Source organism: Homo sapiens, chromosome 10 (assembly GCF_000001405.40).
Source record: "Homo sapiens chromosome 10, GRCh38.p14 Primary Assembly".
NCBI classification, from domain to species: domain Eukaryota; kingdom Metazoa; phylum Chordata; class Mammalia; order Primates; family Hominidae; genus Homo; species Homo sapiens.
In genome coordinates, this window is record NC_000010.11 from 38,405,304 (window position 1) to 38,425,164 (window position 19,861).

A 19,861-nucleotide genomic window follows, 5' to 3' on the forward strand; every position below is an offset into this window, starting at 1 on the left:
GGTTCAAGTGATTCTCCTGCCTCAGCCTCCTGAGAAGCTGGGATTACAGGTGCCCACCACCACGCCCAGCTAATTTTTTAAATATATTTTTAGTAGAGATGGGGTTACAACATGTTGCCCAGGCTGGTCTCAAACTACTGACGTCAAGTGATCCACCCGCCTTGGCTTCCCAAAGTGCTGGGATTATAGGCATGAGCCACTGCGCCTGGCTTGTTTTAAAATAAGGGTTTCTTGGCTAGGCATGGTGGCTCACACCTGTAATCCCAGCACTTTGGGAGGCCAAGGTCAGTGGATCACCTGAGGTCAGGAGTTCGAGACCAGCCTGACCAATATGGAGAAACCCTGTCTCAACTGAAAATACAAAATTAGCCAGGCGTGGTGGTGCATGCCTGTAATCCCAGCTACTCAGGAGGCTGAGGAAGGAGAATTGCTTGAACCCGGGGGGCAGAGGTTGCAGTGAGCTGAGATCGCACCATTGCACTCCAGCCTGGGCAACGAGCAAAACTCTGTCTCAAAATAAAAAAAAAATTTCTTAAAATGATATTTTCAGTATTTTATAGATGATGTGTAAGCAGCAATCTTAATAGGATGTTACCCGACACTTTGCGAGACTGGCAGCTGATTTCATCCAGATGTCTCTAATTCTTTTTTCTTTTTCTTTTTCTTTTTCTTTTTCTGTTGTTGTTTTTTTTTTTGACAGAGCCTTGCTCCGTCCCCCATGCTGGAGTGCAGTGGCACGATCTCGGCTCACTGCAACCTCCACCTCCTGGGTTCAAGCAATTCTCCTGCCTCAGGCTCCCGAGTAGCTGGGATTACAGGTGCGCACCACCCTGCCCAGCTAATTTTTTGTATTTTTGGTAGAGACAGCATTTCACCATGTTGGCCAGGCTGGTCTCGAACTCCTGACCTTAGGTGATCTGCCTGCCTCGGCTTCCCAAAGTGTTAGGATTACAGGCGTCAGCCACTGTGCCTGGCCCAGATGTCTCTATTTCTAACATGAGATGTATTGCAGGATCATAGCAGAGTGAGTTGCTGATGTATCCAGAAGGAAACGAGCATGGAACTCTCATGACAGCTGTCCTGAGAAGTGTGTGTGTGCTGTGCTTGAATATCTCACTGCTCATTTATACACAGGCTTTCTGGTGACTGAGTTAACAGTATCTGTTTCATAAATAATGTAGCCCTCTTTCTTTCTTTCTCTCTCTCTTTTTTTTTTTTTTGAGACAGGGTCTTGCTCTGCTACCCACGCTGGAGTGCAATGGTGCAGTCTCAGCTCACCGCAACTTCAGCCTCCTGGGTTCAAGCGATTCTCCTGCCTCAGCCTCCCAAGTAGCTGGGATTACAGGCATGCGCCACCATGCCTGGCTAATTTTTTCTTTTTTTTTTTTTTGAGATGGAGTTTCGCGGTTGTTGCCCAGGCTGGAGTGCAATGGCACAATCTCGGCTCACCACAATCTTTGCCTTTCAGGTTCAAGGGATTCTCCTGCCTCAGCCTCCCGAGTAGCTGGGATTACAGACATGTGCCACCACACCCAGCTAATGTTGTAGTTTTAGTAGAGATGGGGTTTCTCTATGTTGGTTAGGCTGGTCTCAAACTCCTGACCTCAGGTGATCTACCCGCCTCGGCCTCTCAAAGTGCTGGGATCACAGGCATGAGCCATCACTCCTGGCCTAATTTTTGTATTTTTAGTAGAGAGAGGGTTTCACTCTGTTGGCCAGGCTGGTCTCGAATTCCTGACCTCAAGTTATCTGCCTGCCTCAGCCTCCCAAACTGTTGGAATTACAGGCGTGAACCACCATGCCTGGCCAGCTCTATTTCTTTAAGCCTACATGTTTTGCACTTGTTAAAAGTATTTGAACATACAATTACTCAGCTTCCCTTGTTTACGTGTGAATTTTGTATAATCTTAAATATTTTTTCCAATCTAAGCTTTATTTTATCCCGTTTCTTCTATATTTGTATAACTTTAGGCGGCTATCTTCATTGAAAGTTTTTTCTCAAAAGCCTTAAGATAGAACATAGTTCTTGGCAGCAATTTGAAAGTTATTTGAGGAGAAGGGGAGACTTACAATGATGATTCAAATGAAGGAAACTAAAAAGTAATGAAGCAAGGCAGAGGAAAAAGCAGTATTCACTTGAGTACATCCCAAAAGAATAACATTTCAAATGTAACTAGAAAAAAGTATGCTGAAGTTCGCAATACAGAAATAATTATTAATAAGATAGCTTTAAAGCCCTGCTCAGCTTTTGAATGTTGGGAATTGACCCAGAGGTGGCTGTAACCTAAGATGGTTCCTTCAGTAATGACCATTTTTTCTTTTTCAAGATGATGATTATTCCCCACCTTCTAAGAGACAAAGACCAACGATCCACCACAGCCACCAGTCCCAGAACCCGCCAATGCTGGGGAATGGAAAATGAGGGAGTTCAACTCTGGTAAGGTCTCAGCGAAATCCATGACCTTTTCCTTTATCTTCTGGACTCTCAGTGTGACTGATGAAAGTTATCACAGGCTCTGCAGGGGGAAATGGTTTAGCATGTGTTACTACATCTTAATCACATCTTTGTAAAGCCGGGAGCATTTTACAAGTCACGTTACAGACATTGTTTAAACATAGTCTGTATTTACCAAAGTATAGGACATTGTATCATCTCATATTAATTAGTTGGCTCAAAATTAGTGCTAATGACTTAGTAATTCAGTGATTTCTGTCAGCTTTAAAACCTTTGTTTCAGAACTATTTCACCTCTTGGTTTTCATTTTTGCTGTGTGTCACTGCCTGCCGGCTGCTAATTTATTAACTCCCAGTGAATCATGTGTCCTGTGAAGGGACTGAATATTAGTGGCAATCTATGTTGATGATTTGTATTTTGAATAAATAGTTTGAATACATAGAACATTAAGCTTGTATACATTTTGAAAATAGTATTTTAATATTCTACTGTGTCATAGTTACAATGATTGGATATATATTGAATTTATATGTACTTTAAGTTGTTATGTGTTTATGGTCTTTAGCATTCTAACGTGCAATTGTATATCTGTTAAGTCTTTTTTTTTTTCAAGATTAGACTGATTTATTGAGGCATCTGTTTGATGCCACATTAAGTGGCCCAGGCTTTGTGTAGGGGTTGAGGTTAAAGCAGGAAGAAGGGTGGTGAGAGGCGGGGTACCAGGATTAGGTTGGAATACCTGGGGGTGCTCTGAGGCTCCCCAAGTTTCCCTGGTCTTGGCCGGCTGTGCTGCTGGCCTGGGCATCTGATGGGCCTGCAAGGGTGGTCCAGGGGCTAGGGCAGGGACTTTGGAGTCACGCCGTTGGCTTTGAATCCAGACTCCTACACTTGGTAGCTGTGAACTCTCCATGCCTCAGGGACCTGCAGAACTGAGCTCTGTCTGAGCCAGGTTCCATCCAGGCACTGCGGATCCATCCAGAGGGGCACTGCCTCAGGTTGCTCGCTGTTCACTGCCTTCTCAAGCAGACCCTTGTCTCCTTCTAGGCCCTCACAATCCAGTGGAGGAGACGAAACTCATCTGCCTCTGTCCCTCTGGGCACGCCTCATGCCAGGTGCATCTGTGGACAGGGGCCATGCTCCTGGGCTTCCAAAGTTGGAGAAAGCTGCCAGGCTCAGGTGGGTACATCACAGCAGCTGCTGCCCTCTGAACACAGTGACAAAAGAACACTCTGGGCCTGGAGCCCTGGTCTGGGGCATTGGGCAAGGCTGTTGCACTTCTCTGATCCCATTTCCCCATCTGGAAAGTGCGCTGATTGTATCTCCCTGTGGGCACTGAGGGCTCAGTGTTAGTTTGAGAGCCAGCATCTGGGATTTGGGCTATAATTCCCCGTCAGCCCCATAGCTGCAGGGAACCAGGGACTTTGTTGGGATTACCCTAGGCATCAGTTTAGCTTCCTGCCCCTGGCTTGGGCTCAGCACCTGAAGTATTGTAGGGGGTAGGTAGTCCTGGTGGGGGCTGGGGCTTTTACTCAGACTGAGGTCACACCCAGAGCCAGAAGTCTTGGTGCCTGCTCTGGGCAAAGTTGCCAGCCTGTGCGACAAGAGCGAAACTCCGTCTCCAAAACAAAAACAAAAAACCTTGTATCATTTCCAGGGGCTCACATCTCCCTAAGGGCCTGGTAATTGGCTGGCTCTGGCCTCCATCTGGCCCTGAGGGTGTAGGTAACACCCCACCTTACCTGGTTTCTTCCTGCCAGGGCCAATCTTCAGACTTCAGGACTTTGCAGCCTATCCCACCTCCCCTCTGGCCAGCCTTGAGCCCTTGTGGGTCCAGCACTTTTTCCAGGCTGTCTCCTGGTTGTCCTTCTGCCTCGAGGCCTGGCTCATGCTGCTCCCCCTCCCACTCTCCAAGACCCACAAGGACCACTCCACACCCAGCTCAGCCCCTCCCCTCAGATAGTCCTTTCTCTTTCCTCAGGTGGCCAGGTGCATATCTTGTGTGAGGACCTTCACTGTATCTGGGAATGCCTACTGGTTACCTCGGTAACAGAGAACAAGGCATTTACCTGATATGAGTGTCTTGGTTCACTGTCTACATGGCTAGGGAGGGAGTCAATAATAGGCTTTTCACTTGCTGCAAGGGCCAGTTCTCCTGGCCCCATGGCTCTAGGGATGGAGGACGCTGCAGGAGATGCGCCGCTCACTTCCCAGCTGAGGACTGTGGGTCATCTCAGGGCGATTTCACAGTCCCCACATGCCCCACCCCCTCAGCTCTGCAAATACCAAGCAGTGCAGCCTGCCTAGGGGATGATGGGCTCGAGAGTGCCCAGGTAGTGCCCAGAGTGCCCTTGGCAGGCCCCTCACCTAGCTGCTTCCACAGCTCTGTAGCAAGAGTTCTAACCTTTTTTGACCGTGAAGCCTGCTGAGAATAAGAGCTGTGGACTGTTTTCCCAGAAAGGCATGTACATGCTCTCCACACAAAACCTTTCATCGTGGCCAAGCACAGTGGCTCATGTAATCCCAGAACTTTGGGAGGCGGAGCCAGTCGGATCACCTGAGGTCAGGAGTTCAAGACCAGCCTGCCCAACATGGCGAAACCCTGTCTCTACTAAAAATACAAAAAATTAGCCAGGCGTGGTGGCAGCCACCTGTAATCCCAGCTACTCTGGAGGCTGAGGCAGGAGAATCACTTGAACCTGGGAGGCGCAGGCTGTAGTGTGGTGAGATCACGCCACTGCACTCCAGCCCGGGCGACAGGAGCGAAACTCTGTCTCAAAAAACAAAACAAAACAAAACCTTGCATCCTTTCAGGGGGCTCACACCTCCCTAAGGGCCCAGTAATTAAACCCTTTGGGCCTGAGGGTGAGAAACTTTGTCTGAGTTCTTCCCCGAGTGATCAGCCCAGGGGTAAGGAAGGAGAAGCCAGAAAGCAGGACCCATGAGAAGGGCCCCCTCCTGGAGTTTGAGGCCCACTCCCTCCTGCCCCTGCCTCTCCTCTGTCCAGGACTCCTCCCTGCTCTGCCCCACTCCTGGGGCCATAACCATGGGGAGCTGTGGTTTTCTACAGGCCCCTGGGCACAAAGTGGGCAGGCTCACCTGGAGGCGAGCAGAGTAACATGGCAGGAAGTGAGGGGGAAAGCCGCCCTGGAACTGCGCCTCTCTGCCCCCTGATGTCACTGGCGTGCACTCCTCCCTCCCGTCACTCAGGCAGTGGCATGAGTTCCATGGGAGCGCTGTCCTGCTCCCTCTGCTGCCTCTTTTTTTTCTTGGGGCTGCCATAACACTTTCCCTTCCCCAGCCCTGCCAACCTGGTGGGACATTGGGCTTCCCTCTCACAGGGTCCTGGGGACAGGCCCATCCTTTATCATACCCACAGAGAGACCCTTTTTTTCTTCAGGACCTGGGGAGCAGCCAGGTTCCATGAGTTAAATGCAGATCTGAACCAAGCTGGGATTGGGGTACACACTCTCCTCTACTGAAAAGTAGCTAGGGATTCCAACTAGGTGAGAAGGAGAGTGGGGCAGAGCCACACCAAACAAGGACTGATCACCTGGAAAAAGCCTACCATCAAAGGTCTTGGCAAATGCTGGGTGCAGTGGCTCACTCCTGTAATCCCAGCACTTTGCGGGGCTGAGACAGGTGGACTACTTGAGGCAAGGAGTTCGAGTCCACCCTGGGCAACATGGCAAAACCCCGTCTCTACTAGAAATAGAAAAATTAGCTAGGCATGCTACACTCCTGTAATCCCAGCTACCCAGGAGACTGAGGCAGGAGAATCACTTGAACTGGGGAGGCAGAGGTCGAAGTGAGCCGAGATTGTGCCCCTGCACTCCAGTCTGGGAGACACAGTGAAACTGGCCTCAAAAAAAAGAAAGAATATGGCCTTGGCAGAGAGGGGCCAGCCCAGCAGTGCCTTCCCTTGGGTTTCTCCTGTGTAGGCCTCTGCCATGAGGAGGTGCTTCCTTCTGCCTGTCCATGGCCCACAGCAATGGAATGTCTGCTTCTGGGGGTTGGGTGGGAGACTGCTGGCAGAACTGGAAAGCTTCAGATGGGGTTTTTTTGTTTTGTTTTGTTTTCGAGATGGAGCGTTGCTCTGTCACCCAGGCTGGAGTGCAGTGGTGGAATCTCAGTTCACTGCAACCTCCGCCCCCCTGGGTTCAAACAATTCTCCTGTCTCAGCCTCCTGAGTAGCTGAGATTACAGGCATGTGCCACCATGCCCGGCTAGTTTTTGTATTTTTTGTATAGATGGCATTTCACCATGTTGGCTGGGCTGGTCTCGAACTGCTGACCTCAAGTGATCCACCCACCTCGGCCTCCCAAAGTGCTGGGATTACAGGCATGAGCCACTGAGCCCAGCCCCTTCAGGGGTGTTTTGAGGCTTCACTACAATACTAGTTTCCTGTGGCTGCTGCAACAAATTACCACACACTTAGTGACTTAAAACAACCAAAATGTATTCCTTTACAGGTCTGAAGGCCAGAATTCTACAGTAAGTCCTACTGAGTCAAGGTGGGAGCAGGGTCGGTGGCTTCCGAGGCTCTGCGGGAGAATCCGTTTCCTGGCCGTAGAGGTGGCCTGCACTCCTCAGCTTGTGCTGCCCGTCTCGAATGACTGGAGTTTCCTGCTTCTGTCACTACACCTCCCACCCTCTCCATCACCTGCTCTGCTCTTATAAGGATCCGAGTGAGTACATCAACCGCAAAAGCCAAAGACCCTTTAACTTCATTATATCTGCAAAGCCCCTTTTGCCATATAAAGTCATGTTCACCAGTTCCCGGGATTAGGATATGGGCATCTTGGGGGCATCAGCCTGCTACAGCTAGGCTGCAAAACTGTTACACCCTCCTGGTGTTTCAATGATTGGGAGAAAAAGGGTTGGCATTTTTTGCTTAGGGATCCTTCTTAAACTTGTATCTGTAAGGTCGGGGGTCCCTCTTAACCTTGTGTTTTTGTTTTTGTTTTTTTGAGGTGGAGTCTTGCTCTGTCATCCAGGCTGGCAGTGGCGTGATCTTGGTTCACTGCAATGTCTGCCTCCTGGGTTCAGGTGATTCTCCTGCCTCAGCCTCCTGAGTAGCTGGGACTACAGGCGCCCGCCACCATGCCCTGCTGTTTTGTATTTTTGGTAGGGAAGGGGTGGGGGTGGGGCTAGGGAGGGGGGTTTTGGCTATGTTGCCCTGAGCTAAAAGCGATCCACCTGCCTCTGCTGCCGAAGTGCTGGGATTACAGGCCTGCACCACTGCACCCGGCTGCTGTAAAGTCTTATTTCACACAGCTGAGACATGTTTTAGGAAGTTTGCTAAAAGACCCCTGGAGACCGCCTCATTGTGACCTCCCTGTTATTGTGTTTAATTTGATTGAACTTTTCTGCCCTCCTGCTTTTCAGCTTCTCTAATAGTCTCCCATTAAACCAATTCTAAGAACCACCAAAAAGGGGAAATTTTTTCTTGAAAGCAGTAAAATGATATGGACTGTTAGAATGTAAAATATATGAAATAATTCATTATACGTTAGTGCTGCTCTGACATAGGGACGTATTATTGAGAAGCAACTTTTGCTTGATTTTCAGAGAAATGGAATCATCGTATCGCTGATCTGCGTAAACAAATTGAAGAATTGTCTGAAAGAAAATATGGTATGTCTAAACTGGAAAAGTCCTGTAATCTTATGTTCATGGGCGTTTACACAATGGAGTTACTGTTCATCATGGGGGTACCGTGGACAAGCCCAGGGCTGCCGGCGAGTCATGCTATCCTTACACGTTTCTCCTTGTAAGGTGCTTTGTAGTGTCTACACACTTTGTTTCTAGATTGCTGCAAAGCTGAGGAAAAGTTATATTTCTTTAGTTATTAGTTAGCATTTCTTTTAAACTTTCAGTATGGAGATTGGAAATTTATTTACATATTTATTGCAAAGCCCTGGATCTTAGGGATTTCATTGAATTATTTATTTATTTTTTTTGAGACGGAGCCTCACTCTGTCGCCCAGGCTGGAGTGCAGTGGCACGATCTCGGCTCACTGCAACCTCCGCCTCCTGGGTTCAAGCAGTTCTCTGCCTCAGCCTCCCAAGCAGCTAGGATTACAGGCACCAGCCACCACGCCTGGCTGATTTTTGTATTTTTAGTAGAGACGGAGTTTCATGATCTTGGCTAGGCTGGTCTTGAACTGCTGACCTCCTGATCCACTCACCTCAGCCTCCCACAGTGCTGGGATTACAGGTGTGAGCCGCCATGCCTGGCCAAATATTATTTTTTTAAATGAATTGTTTCTCTTAGTCTGCTTTGTTAAATTTGGAATTCATCTGGGCGCAGTGGCTCACACCTGTAATCCCAGCACTTTGGGAGGCCAAGGCAGGCAGATATCTAGGTCGGGAGTTCGAGACCAGCCTGACCAACATGGAGAAACCCCGTCTCTACTAAAAATACAAAATTAGACGGGTGTGGTGGTGCATGTCTGTAATCCCAGCTATTTGGGAGGCCAAGGCAGGAGAATTGCTTGAACCCAGGAGGCAGAGGTTGTGGTGAGCCGAGGTTGCACCATTGCACTCTAGCCTGGGCAAAAAGAGCAAAACTCCATCTCAAAATAAATAAATAAATAAAATGTTCAGTACTCACCAAGGTGCCCCTATTGTCTCTACTTTTATCTTGATGCATCACTGAATTGATGTTAGATTTCAAATTCATCATTGCCCTGATACTATTCTATCCTGAAGCCACCTTTATATAGTGATGAAAGAAATTAGCGATTTGTTATTATCCTCTCTCTGTTGGTATACATCAGATGCTCACCTAAAAAGAGCAACAACCAGTGGAAAACACATGATGTTTTTATTTGGGTGACTATTTACTTGTAACCTACTAGCAAACTATAAAATTGTATGGTATGCAGAATTTTAACTGAATTGCTTTAAGTGAACATTTAAACATGATAAACAATATTGATGGTATTTATGTTAATATACTTAAAATGAACATTTTTCTTCATCATGAGTAATATAACCTACTCCTCAATGAAAACCTAGCACTAAATTTGCTAATGAATTCAATAACATTTCCATAATATTTTTAGTTACATGCTTAAGGTTCTCTTAGTGTTTCTCCCACTTTTTAATAGCTTATGCCTTTTTCGCCTTTCGTTTTTTTTGGTTCATTTTAAAGCAAAAATCTCACAACATGTGATATCTGGAAACACTGTAACCTAGTGGTAAGACCATAGGCCCTGGGGACACAGGCTGGCCACGTCTCTTCTCCTGTCTGAGCTTTAGTATCCTCTTTTGTGGTCATGAGAACTGAAGATCTGTCCCAAAGATTTGATAAGATAGTAAAGTGCTTCACATAATTCCAGACATATAAATACACAGTAAATGCTTCCTCCTTATATTTTTATTGATTGATTGATTGAGACAGAATCTTGCTCTCTTGCCCAGGCTGGAATGCAGTGGCGTGATCATGGTTTCTGCAACCTCCACCTCCTGGGTTCAGGCAATTCTCCTGCCTCAGCCTCCCGAGTAGCTGGGATTACAGGTGCCTGCCACCATGCCCAGCTAATTATTGTACTTTTAGTACAGACGGGGTTTTACCATGTTGGCCAGGCTGGTCTCGAACTCCTGACCTCATGATCTGCCTGCCTCGGCCTCCCAAACTGCTGGGATTACAGGTGTGAGCCACTGTGCCCAGCCTGTCTTTTCACACCCGCAGTTCATGATGAAATATTAAATATGTACTAGTGGATATTACTTTGCTGAATATTGCCTAGTGAATATTAAGTATTTATTCTCACCTTTCAGACATGAACTTATGAATTCAACAGGTAAAGATTTACAACTTGATAAATCAACTTTGTGAGGTAAGTCTTCAGTCTTAAGTCAGATTAGAAGATTATGTGAGGTAATTAACACTTAACATTGATTTAATGGTAGCTTCCACATGAAATAGTATGCCTCTAAGTATTAATTATGTCCTAGGACAGGAGAATTCATGTTGTCAAAATTCTCATACTCTCTAGAACAATAAACTTATTTTCTTTTTATTAGTAAATATTGCATTTATGGGTAGACAAAACTGAAAGAACAATATTTGTTCTACTTTTGAGATGCAAGATTCATCCGGCATAATGCATTGAACCGGTTGTTATTGAAGTCTACACCAGTCAACTGAATAAGCATTCATCAAATGTCCATGATATGCAGGACATAAGTTTTCTTTTAGAGTATGGAACCATGCATATTATCTTTTAATTAGATGATTTAGTTAGACATGTTTTTAAAGAACTAGAAATATAATTGATTTTCTTGTTTTGGCTCTGGAGTGGAGTGGGGACGAAACAGAATGGATTCACACTGTTTAGATTTACTAAAATGGAAGGATTGCAGCAAGATCATATCCCTAGTCTCCCCATAGCAAATGTCACCTGCTAGCTGTTTTTTTTTTGGAGGTTGAAGTTTTGTTCTGTCGCCCCCGCTGGAGTGCAGTGGTATGATCTCAGCTCATGGCAAGCTCACCTCCTGGGTTCAAGCAATTCTCCCTGCCTCAGCATCCTAAGTAGCTGGGATTACAGGCCTCTGCCACCATGCCTGCCTAATTTTTGTATTTGTAGTAGAGTTGGGGTTTCACCATGTTGGCCAGGCTGGCCTTGAACTCCTGACTTCAGGAGATTCACCCGCCTCAGCCTCCCAAAGTGCTGGGATTATGGGTGTGTCACTGCACTTGGATTTAATGGAATATTTCACTACAGACTTTGGTAAACAGAATATTAGCATTTTTGGTGTTCTTTTTATTTTACTCATACTATTTTTCTTTGGACTCAATCACAATAACAGAATTAAAGATCAAAGTGTAAAAGTTAAAGACCAGTACAGATTCAATAATTATTCTTTTCTACATACTGTGTTTAATTGATATCCCTTTTTCTTTTTGTTCTTATAGCTCGAGCTGTAAAAGCCAAAGGTCCAGTGATGATCCCATACCCTTTTGTCCAGTCTCATGTTGAAGATTTTTATGTAGAAGGCCTTCCCAAAGGAATTTTTTTTTTTTTTTTGAGATGGAGTTTTCACTCTTATCGCCCAGGCTGGGGTGCAATGGCGCAACCTTGCTGGTCACTGCAACCTCTGCCTCCTGGGTTCAAGAAATTCTCTTGCCTTAGCCTCCCAAGTTGCTGGGATTACAGGTGCCCACCACCACACCAGGCTAATTTTTGTATTTTTAGTGGAGATGGGGTTTCACCATGTTGGCCGGGCCAGTCTCGAACTCCTGACGTCAAGTGATCTTCCCGCCTCGACTCCTGACATCAAGTGATCTTCCCACCTCGGCCTCCAAGAGTGCTGAGATTACAGATGTGAACCCATGCCTGGCCAGGAATTTTGTTTTTTAGGAAGGCTTTCTACTAATGGAATTCCTGGCCTTGAGAGGATGTTACTTTCGAAGGAAAGGATTTTTTTGTTATTAAAAGGTAAGATTCCTGGATTCTTATTGGACTGTTATCTCTGTTATGAGTAATCCATCTTTAGTCATTCACCACTAGGGTTGTATTTAATTAAGTCTGAGTTATTTTATGGTGGTTTTGTTTTGTTTTGTTTTTACTGAATTTTTTTCTCATTGCCGTGGCTTGAGGGCAATGGCGTGATTTCAGGTCACCACATTCTCTGCCTTCCAGGTTCAAGCAATTCTGCCTCAGCCTCCTGAGTAGCTGGATTTACAGGCATGTGCCACCATGCCTGGCTAATTTTTTGTATTTTTAGTAGAGATGGTGTTTCACCATGTTGACCAGGCTGGTCTAGAACTCCTGACCTTGGGTGATCCACCCGCCTCGGCCTCCCAAAGTGCTGGGATTACAGGCATGAGCCACTGCGCCCAGCCTGGGCCTGCTTCTTTCTCTTTTTCTTTTTTTTTTCATTAGCAGCTTAAAATTGGTGCCTTATTCAGACACAGGCAAAAGGACATTAGCCCAGCTTTGGAAATAGGTGTGAGCCCATATATGATTTTCCTAGTTTCTCCTCCCCCTTTGCTTTTTGCTCTCTTAGTATATTAATTGTTTTCACTCTCTGAATCTTTTTTCCCCATTTCTTTGGCAGACATTTTTACTTGTCTTGGAAGAGTAGGTGAAGAGCTGTTTTTAGGACTCTTTGAAAGGGTACAGTATGGGTGACAGTCTTGGCTAATGGTAACATCCAGGGAGCTGGGGTCAGCGTGAGCAAATTAGCAAAGCACTGGCACTCAGTGGCAGGAATACAAGTGACTGCAAAGTGTTAAACACATCTGGAAAGGGATACTGACATCATCCTCAGAATCTGTGGGGAGTTCACATAGCCAGTTAAGACCCATTCCTCTTTGACCCTATAAAGATTCTTTAAAGAATAATACCCTTAGTGGTTTTCTAGCCAGCTTGCCTGCTCATTTATCTTTGAGAACGACATGCCTTGTGGAGCTCCACAGGCCCCAGAGGGGTATGGATTCTGCATTTGAAAGTGCTGGAGCTGAGAGACTGGGTCTTGGTGGACCCCAAGAGGCCTGTTTCTCCTCTACTCATTGTTCTATTTTTTCCCAGCAGCTGGCATTGCTGTTTAAATGGGTTGTTCTTTGCTGTTTTAAGTTGTTTCATAGTGGTGTGTCAGGATTTGGGTTTTCTTAATACTTTCCAAGCTGGTGACTTGAGTGGTGCTTAGGGAGGAACTGTTTTAGGGCTGTTCTGGAGCTATAGAGGTCAGGTGTCTAGATACTCCCAGCTTGTCTGTTGAGGAGAATGCTGTTCTCATTGTGCTGCCTTTGGTGGTGCTGTGTGTGGCTCTTTAGATGTGGGTGGAGGTGAGCTGGGGGAGTTAATGAGATCTTTTTTAGGTGCTTTTGATAAAGTAGCCTGCACTACAGGATTCACTGTGACTTTTTTCCTTAACCTATGCATTTCTCTCTGCTAGCTTTTGCTGTCTTTCTCATGCCTTTGATTTTCCCAGCTCCTCTTAGTTGAATTAACCTAAGTGCTCTGCTATGGTTTAAATGTGTCCCCCAAAGTTTATGTGCTGGAAACTCAATCCTCAATGCAACAGTTGGGATGTGGGGCCTAATAAAATAGCCTTCATGAATGAGTTAATGTTGTTATTGTGGTAATAGATTAGTAATCACAGAGTGGGCTTATTATAAAACAGAGTTCAGCCCCTTTTGCCCTCTTGCTTTCTTGCACTCTCTTTTCCTTCTGCCTTCTGTAGTGGGATGATGCAGCAAGAAGACCCTTACCAGATGCAGGCCCCTCAACCTTGGACTTCCTAACATCCAGAACTGTTAAGAAATAAAATTTATTCCTTTCCTTTCCTTTTCTTCCTCCTTTCCCTTCTCCCTTTTCTTCCCTTCCCCTTCCTCCCTCTCTCTCTCCCTCCCTCCCTCCCTCCTTCCCTCCGTTCCTCCTTCCCTCTTTCTCTCTTTCCCTTCCTTCCTTTCCTTCTTTCCCTTCCTTCCTTTCCTTCCCTCCTTCCGTCTTTCCCTCCTTCCCTCCTTCCTTCCTTTTTTCTTTCCTTCCTTTTTTCCTTTTTATAAATTATGCAGTCTGTGGTATTCTTTTATAGAAGCATGAAATGGACAAAGACTCCGTTTTCAAGAGCAAGCACTTTTGTAGTTTCTGAGTGAATTATGACTGCAAAGGAAGTTCTATAGGTAGCCTCAGATCCACTACCTAGGAAGCATGCTACCAAGCAGACCTAGGATCTAGGATTTGATCAAGTGCTGGGCAACATGATACCTCTGCAATTTAGCACCTCCCTATATACCTCCAGTTGGCTCAGCCCATCAGGGCTAAAACTACCCCTCATATCCTAGTGTCTCTTGTAGGCAGAAGCCTTGCCTAAACCCTAAGCTGCTTGGCTCACATTCTGTCTTGTGCTTTTTTTGTAGGGGGTTCAAATATACACAAAAGAAATATGTTGAACCTCCATGCACCCAACCCGCAGATTAAGCAGTTACCTCCATTTTTCCAGATTTGTTTTGTCTGCTTCAATCTCCCTAAAAATTTATGTTTGTACAGGAAAGACTGAATAAATAGCTAATTCTCCACCCTACCTCTCATCTTAAGTCACTTTTCAGAGTAGTAAGTTAGTGACCTAGTAACCTTCCCTCTAATGACCAGTAGTTTTTTTTCTGAATACCATTATGAACTCATAGATTATTGTTTGCATTTGATGTATTTCAGGCCATTACAGTCTTTATTGTTTTGGATGCTTTCATTGTCTCATCTAGGTTAATAATTATCTCTTCAAGTTGACTTTCATGTCTTTTTGACGGGATCCTGTTGGACTTTGATGGCTTCCTTGCTTTCTGGCAAAAAAGATGTTCCAGGATCAATATACTGCACCATACATGGAGTCAGCCATTTCTCTAGGGAACCTTGATTCCTTTTAGTAGAGAACACAGTTTGAGGTCTTGGACTGAATGACTTTTGTGAACCTCCTCTCCTGAGACTACAGCCTGCATCCCTGCATATAGCCCGTTTGGAGCTCTTGCTGGGCACCAACAGATCTCCTAAAACTGCTATGTAGTTCTGCCTCACTCTTACAAAGATTCATCTCTTGAGAGTTTTGTGCTCTACCCTCAGATGTGGTCTTTCTGGTTCTGAAGCTTTTGCTTCAGTCACCCTGAATTTTGCCAGCCCTATGCATGCTATACCTTGGATTGCCAACTTGCCCTCACTGAAGCCAGTTTCTCAGGTTAGAATAGTTGCCCCAACCCATGCCTAATACTCTAGTAAATAAGGTTCTACCTGGGCTTACGTTAACTTTTGCTCCTTTGGGCCCTGTGTTCTACCAGCATTCCATTTATCTGAAACTGTCCCTCACCTTAAGAACGTATCTGTTCTTTAATGATTTACTGCTGCTTCCTGGGCTCGAAAGAATCCAGTTCAGGAGTTTCTGTTTTAGTTTGAGATCTTATAGTCCTGTCTCATCAGGTTGGTGTCAGCCCAGCTAGGATTAGGCAGAATTGGGTGGGGGCTGTAGTGCATTTTTGGCACAGCATGTACCTATCTGACTAATTCTCTGTCTTTTCTTTCCTGTTGTAATTCATGGGTCTTAGCATCTTCTGAATGGTGTTTAGTAGGTCATCCTGTTGATTTCTTGCTAGGGAGTAGCATACTCTGGCTCTGTACCATTGGCCAAGGGGCTTAAGGATAGATGAAGGGCTGCAGTTTTGTTAAATGGAACAATATGAAGAGATGGCATTGTAAAAAAAAAAAAAGGCTTGGCAGCAGGGCCCATTTGAATGGTTGGTCCTTGGCTCCTTTGTTGATATAGGCAGATCCTTGATGGGAATTTGGAATGATCCCAAATATTGTAGATCACTGGTACATCAAGTCATCCTCAAGGTTGTCTGTGTAACGGTCTTGAATGATATTTTGTCAGTCTTTGGAGATTCTCTGTATAGGATTTAATCATTTAGTTATTTCAGTTGAGCCTGTTTAGTTTCTTTGCAAGGAGATAAGAAATGTGAAAGAGATGCAGACATTAGGGAAAAAAAGTCAGGAGCCTTGTTTCCCCATCCTCTACTTGGGTTCTGGAACTAGACTCATAGGTGAGTAGTGAGGAGCTGGGCCCAAGCACATTAATCCTAGATCTAGCTATGCTTTGCACTCGCTCCAGTTCTTGTATCAAATTCACTTCAAGCCACCCAGAGTAGTATGTAGAGGAGTCATTCAGGACTGTGCTTATACTTCATTGTATCAAATGGGAGATCCAGTAATTTATAGCCTATTGTTTCTGGAGCCTGGAGATGGCTCTGCATAAGATTTGCTGAAGCAAATTTTATTACATTAGAAGAGAACCTAGCTGGCTGCATCCTACACTGGAAGCTTTTAGATGCTAATAAGGAGGTCATGTAAAGGTCACAGAATGACTCTGGAATCCATTCCCCGCCAAGAAAGAATAATGACATTCTATGTTGGCCTCTTTTCATTTCCCTTTGATTTTGAGTAATAAATTCTCTCCTCACTTCCCAGTTGAACTGTTTGGGAGTCTCTATTCCCTAGAAAGACTCTGGTCACATACCCATCAGATTAAATTAGGTGAAAACTCTTTGGCCTTTATGAATGTTGAAGAATTCCAAAGGGCTAATGGAAATTCTTCTGGAAGTAACTGCAACCTCTGCCTTCCGGGTTCAAGCCATTTTCCTGCCTCAGCCTCCCGAGTAGCTGGGATTACAGGTGTCCACTACCATGCCCAACTAATTTTTGTATTTTTAGTAGAGATGGGGTTTCACCATGTTGGCCAGGCTGATCTAGAACTTTTGACCTCAGGTGATCTGCCCGCCTCAGCCTCCCAAAGTGCTGGGATTACAGGTGTGATCCACCGCACCCAGTTAAACTTCAGTTTTTCATGTTCCATGCGTAGGTCAGGGTCTTAGGGAGTGATTCATTCTAGCAGAACTCCCTGGATTTTAAGGCAGATGTTCCATTTATTAATTGACAAAGGAGGCATATTTTTCCCCTGGTAACCCAAAGATTTAGGTCATTTTCCCAGAGACTCCATTTCCACTGTGAGGGTTCTTGGAAAACTAAGCAGAGGATGAGGAAAAGTCTATGAACAAGCTTGCTGGTCTCTCCCTGTCCTACAAAAGAGTATACCTCTTCTGTAACCAGAAGGCCCTTTTGATTAGTCAAGGCTGGACAGACTGAGATTGTGTGTGTGTGTGTGTGTGTGTGTGTGTGTGTGTGTGTGTCTTGAGACAGGGTCTCACTCTGTCACCCAGGCTGGAGTGCAGTGGTGAGATCAGAGCTCACTGCAGCTTCCACTTCCTGGGCTCAAGTGATCCTCATATTTCAGCCTCCAGAGGAGCTGGGACTATACGAATGTTTTACCGCACCCAGTTCATTTTCTAATTTTTTGTAGAGATGAGGTTTCACTGTGTTGCTCAGGCTGGTCTTGAACTCCTGGCCTCACGGAATCCTCCTGCCTTAGTCTCCCCGTGGGCTGGGATTATAGGTATGAGCCACCTCACCTGACCTGCGACGATTTTTCAACAATGTAATTTCTCTTTTACAGAGCCACCTAAGCTGAAGATTCCCTTGAGAACAAGTACTGTCCTGCGGTTTCATGGCCTTTCTTCCATTTGTGGTTCTTGTGAAGTGGAATTTAAATGACATCAAGATGGATAAACCCTAGTTTCCCAGTGCTGGAATATAGAAAATGGATGGACAAGTAAATCCCACTCAGCACCCATAGTCCAGGCATGGGGATCTCAACACACCTGAGCCCCAGACATCACCTTTCATTGTGAGTAGCTCTGAGATGACACTTCTGCTGTTCCCAATTCCAGCATTAATTGGATTAGTTATTTTATGAAGAATTTTCATATGCCACAATCCTGACCATATCTTCAAGTGAACAGAAAAATTCTATTAAAAAGTCAACCTTCTGTCTCACTCTGTTGCCCAGACTGGAGTGCAGTGGTGCAATTATGGCTCACTGCAGCCTCAACCTCCTGGGCTCAAGCAATCCTCCTGCCTCAGCCTCACAAGTAGCTGGGACTACAGGTGCTTGTCACCACACCTCACTAATTTTCCCATTTGTGTTATATGTGGATTCCACGGGACTGACTTCGAAAACTTGAGTATGCGTGGATTTTGGTATACACAGAAATGGGAGAGCTGGAACTAATCCCCCCATATACCAAGGGACAAATTGTATCTGTTTTTACAATTATACAGTAGGAGACATTATGTTCCATGACAATGGTAATTTTTAATGACAGTTTTTAATTGAGTGAAATTACCATAAAAATAATAATAGTAGCAGCTAATATTTACTGAGCTGTTACTAGGTGCCTATAAATAGCATAGATTTTTAAATTCTCCATAATTCTTCCTTATTTCACTTAACCACTCTATTTTAAATTACTCATGCTTGCCTCAGTAGCACACATACTTAAGTTGGAACAATAGAGAGATTGGCACGGCCTCTGTGAAAGAATGACATGCAAATTTGTGAAGCATTCCATATTTTTTTAAAAAAAGAGAAAAAAATTACTCCCAGATTTTCACTGTGTTTGTGCATATGACCTTTTGTTTAGGTTGAATTGTATCCAAAGATGAAATTTCCAGAAGTGAGATTACTGTGAGTCACAGGGCATGAACATTCTTATTACCCTTGATGTAAATTGCAAAGCTTTCAGGCATGGTGGCTGTCAGCCTGTAATTCCAGCACTTTGGGAGGCTGAGGTGGGAGGATTGCTTGAGGCCAGGAGTTGGAGGAGGCAGTCACTGTCTGTATGATTTAAAAAAAATTTCCAAGCTTTATGCTGGAAGGCTTATATACATTTTAAACACCACTAATACTACAAGAAAATGGCCATTTCACTGCACCTTCGCCCACACAGGTATTATAATTTAACAAGTTATTTTCTGTGTGATAAATGAAAGACCTCATATTATTACTTTGTCACCCATTCTTTTTTCTTTTTTGAGATGCAGTCTCGCTCTGTCGACCAGGCTGGAGTGCAGTGGTGTGATCTCAGTTCACTGCAACCTGTGCCTCCCAGGTTCAAGTGATTCTCCTGCCTCAGCCTCCTGAGTAGCTGGGATTACAGGCACATGCCACCATGCCTGGCTAATTTTTGTATTTTCAGTAGAAATGTGGTTTCACCATGTTGATCAGGCTGGTCTCGAACTCCTGACCTCGTGATCTACCCGCCTTGGCCTCCCAAAGTGCTTGATTACAGCTGTGAGCCATGTGCCCAGCCTATTTGTCACATATTTTATCTTTCCTTATGTTAGCTTATTAGCTTTATTTCTTTATTGTCCTTTTTTTTTTTTTTTTTTTTTTTGAGATGAAGTATCGCTCTGTCTCCTAGGCTTCAGTGTAGTGGCACAGTCTCAACTCACTGCAGCCTTGACCTCCTAGGCTCAGGTGATCCTTCCACCTCAGTAGTTGGGACTATAGGCACATGCCACTATGCCTGGCCAATTATTTTTATTTTTTTATTTTTACTAGAGAGGAGGTCTTGCTTTGTTTCTTAGGCTGGTCTGGAACTCCTGGCCTCAAGCAATCCCCCCACCACCCCCTCCCAAAGTACTGGTATTATAAGCATGAGCCACCATGCCTGGGGTATCTGTGTCTTTTCCATTTATTTATAGAGTTACTTTGTCTTTTACTAATTCAATGATCTGTTTAATCTTTTATTAAATTATAAAAATAATAAATACTTTTAAATAAGTGAAAAATGTCCTTCACTCTTTAGACCCATAATCTTATCTCAGGAAATAATTGCAATTGAGAAAATGGGCCATATCCTTCAAGATACGTACATGGTGATTGAACATCACTTCATATTTTCATATTTCGTGGACATTTGTGCCAATACCAATTGATCTATCTTAATCCTTTTCATGGTTGCATAATATTTTATTATATGGATGTATCACAATTTACCAGTACCAGTCA

General features: G+C 44.8%; 1 long non-coding RNA gene and 1 pseudogene across 9 annotated transcripts in view; both read left to right on the forward strand.

Moving 5' to 3' along the window:
• Positions 1-19,861, forward strand: part of LOC101929540 (uncharacterized) — a 32,174-nt gene that overhangs the window by 2,139 nt on the left and 10,174 nt on the right. For 5 of the 9 annotated variants that reach the window (XR_007062117.1, XR_007062119.1, XR_007062118.1 and 2 more), the window contains exons 2-8: positions 2,328-2,437; positions 3,500-3,631; positions 6,925-7,140; positions 8,024-8,089; positions 10,241-10,299; positions 11,379-11,901; positions 17,465-17,695. This is a non-coding gene — a long non-coding RNA (uncharacterized LOC101929540). The remainder of the gene's footprint in view (positions 1-2,327; positions 2,438-3,499; positions 3,632-6,924; positions 7,141-8,023; positions 8,090-10,240; positions 10,300-11,378; positions 11,902-17,464; positions 17,696-19,861) is intronic. The other 4 variants (XR_007062122.1, XR_007062123.1, XR_002957067.2 and 1 more) reach the window with 3 other exon arrangements.
• RNU6-1118P (RNA, U6 small nuclear 1118, pseudogene) lies at positions 18,322-18,425 on the forward strand (annotated as a pseudogene).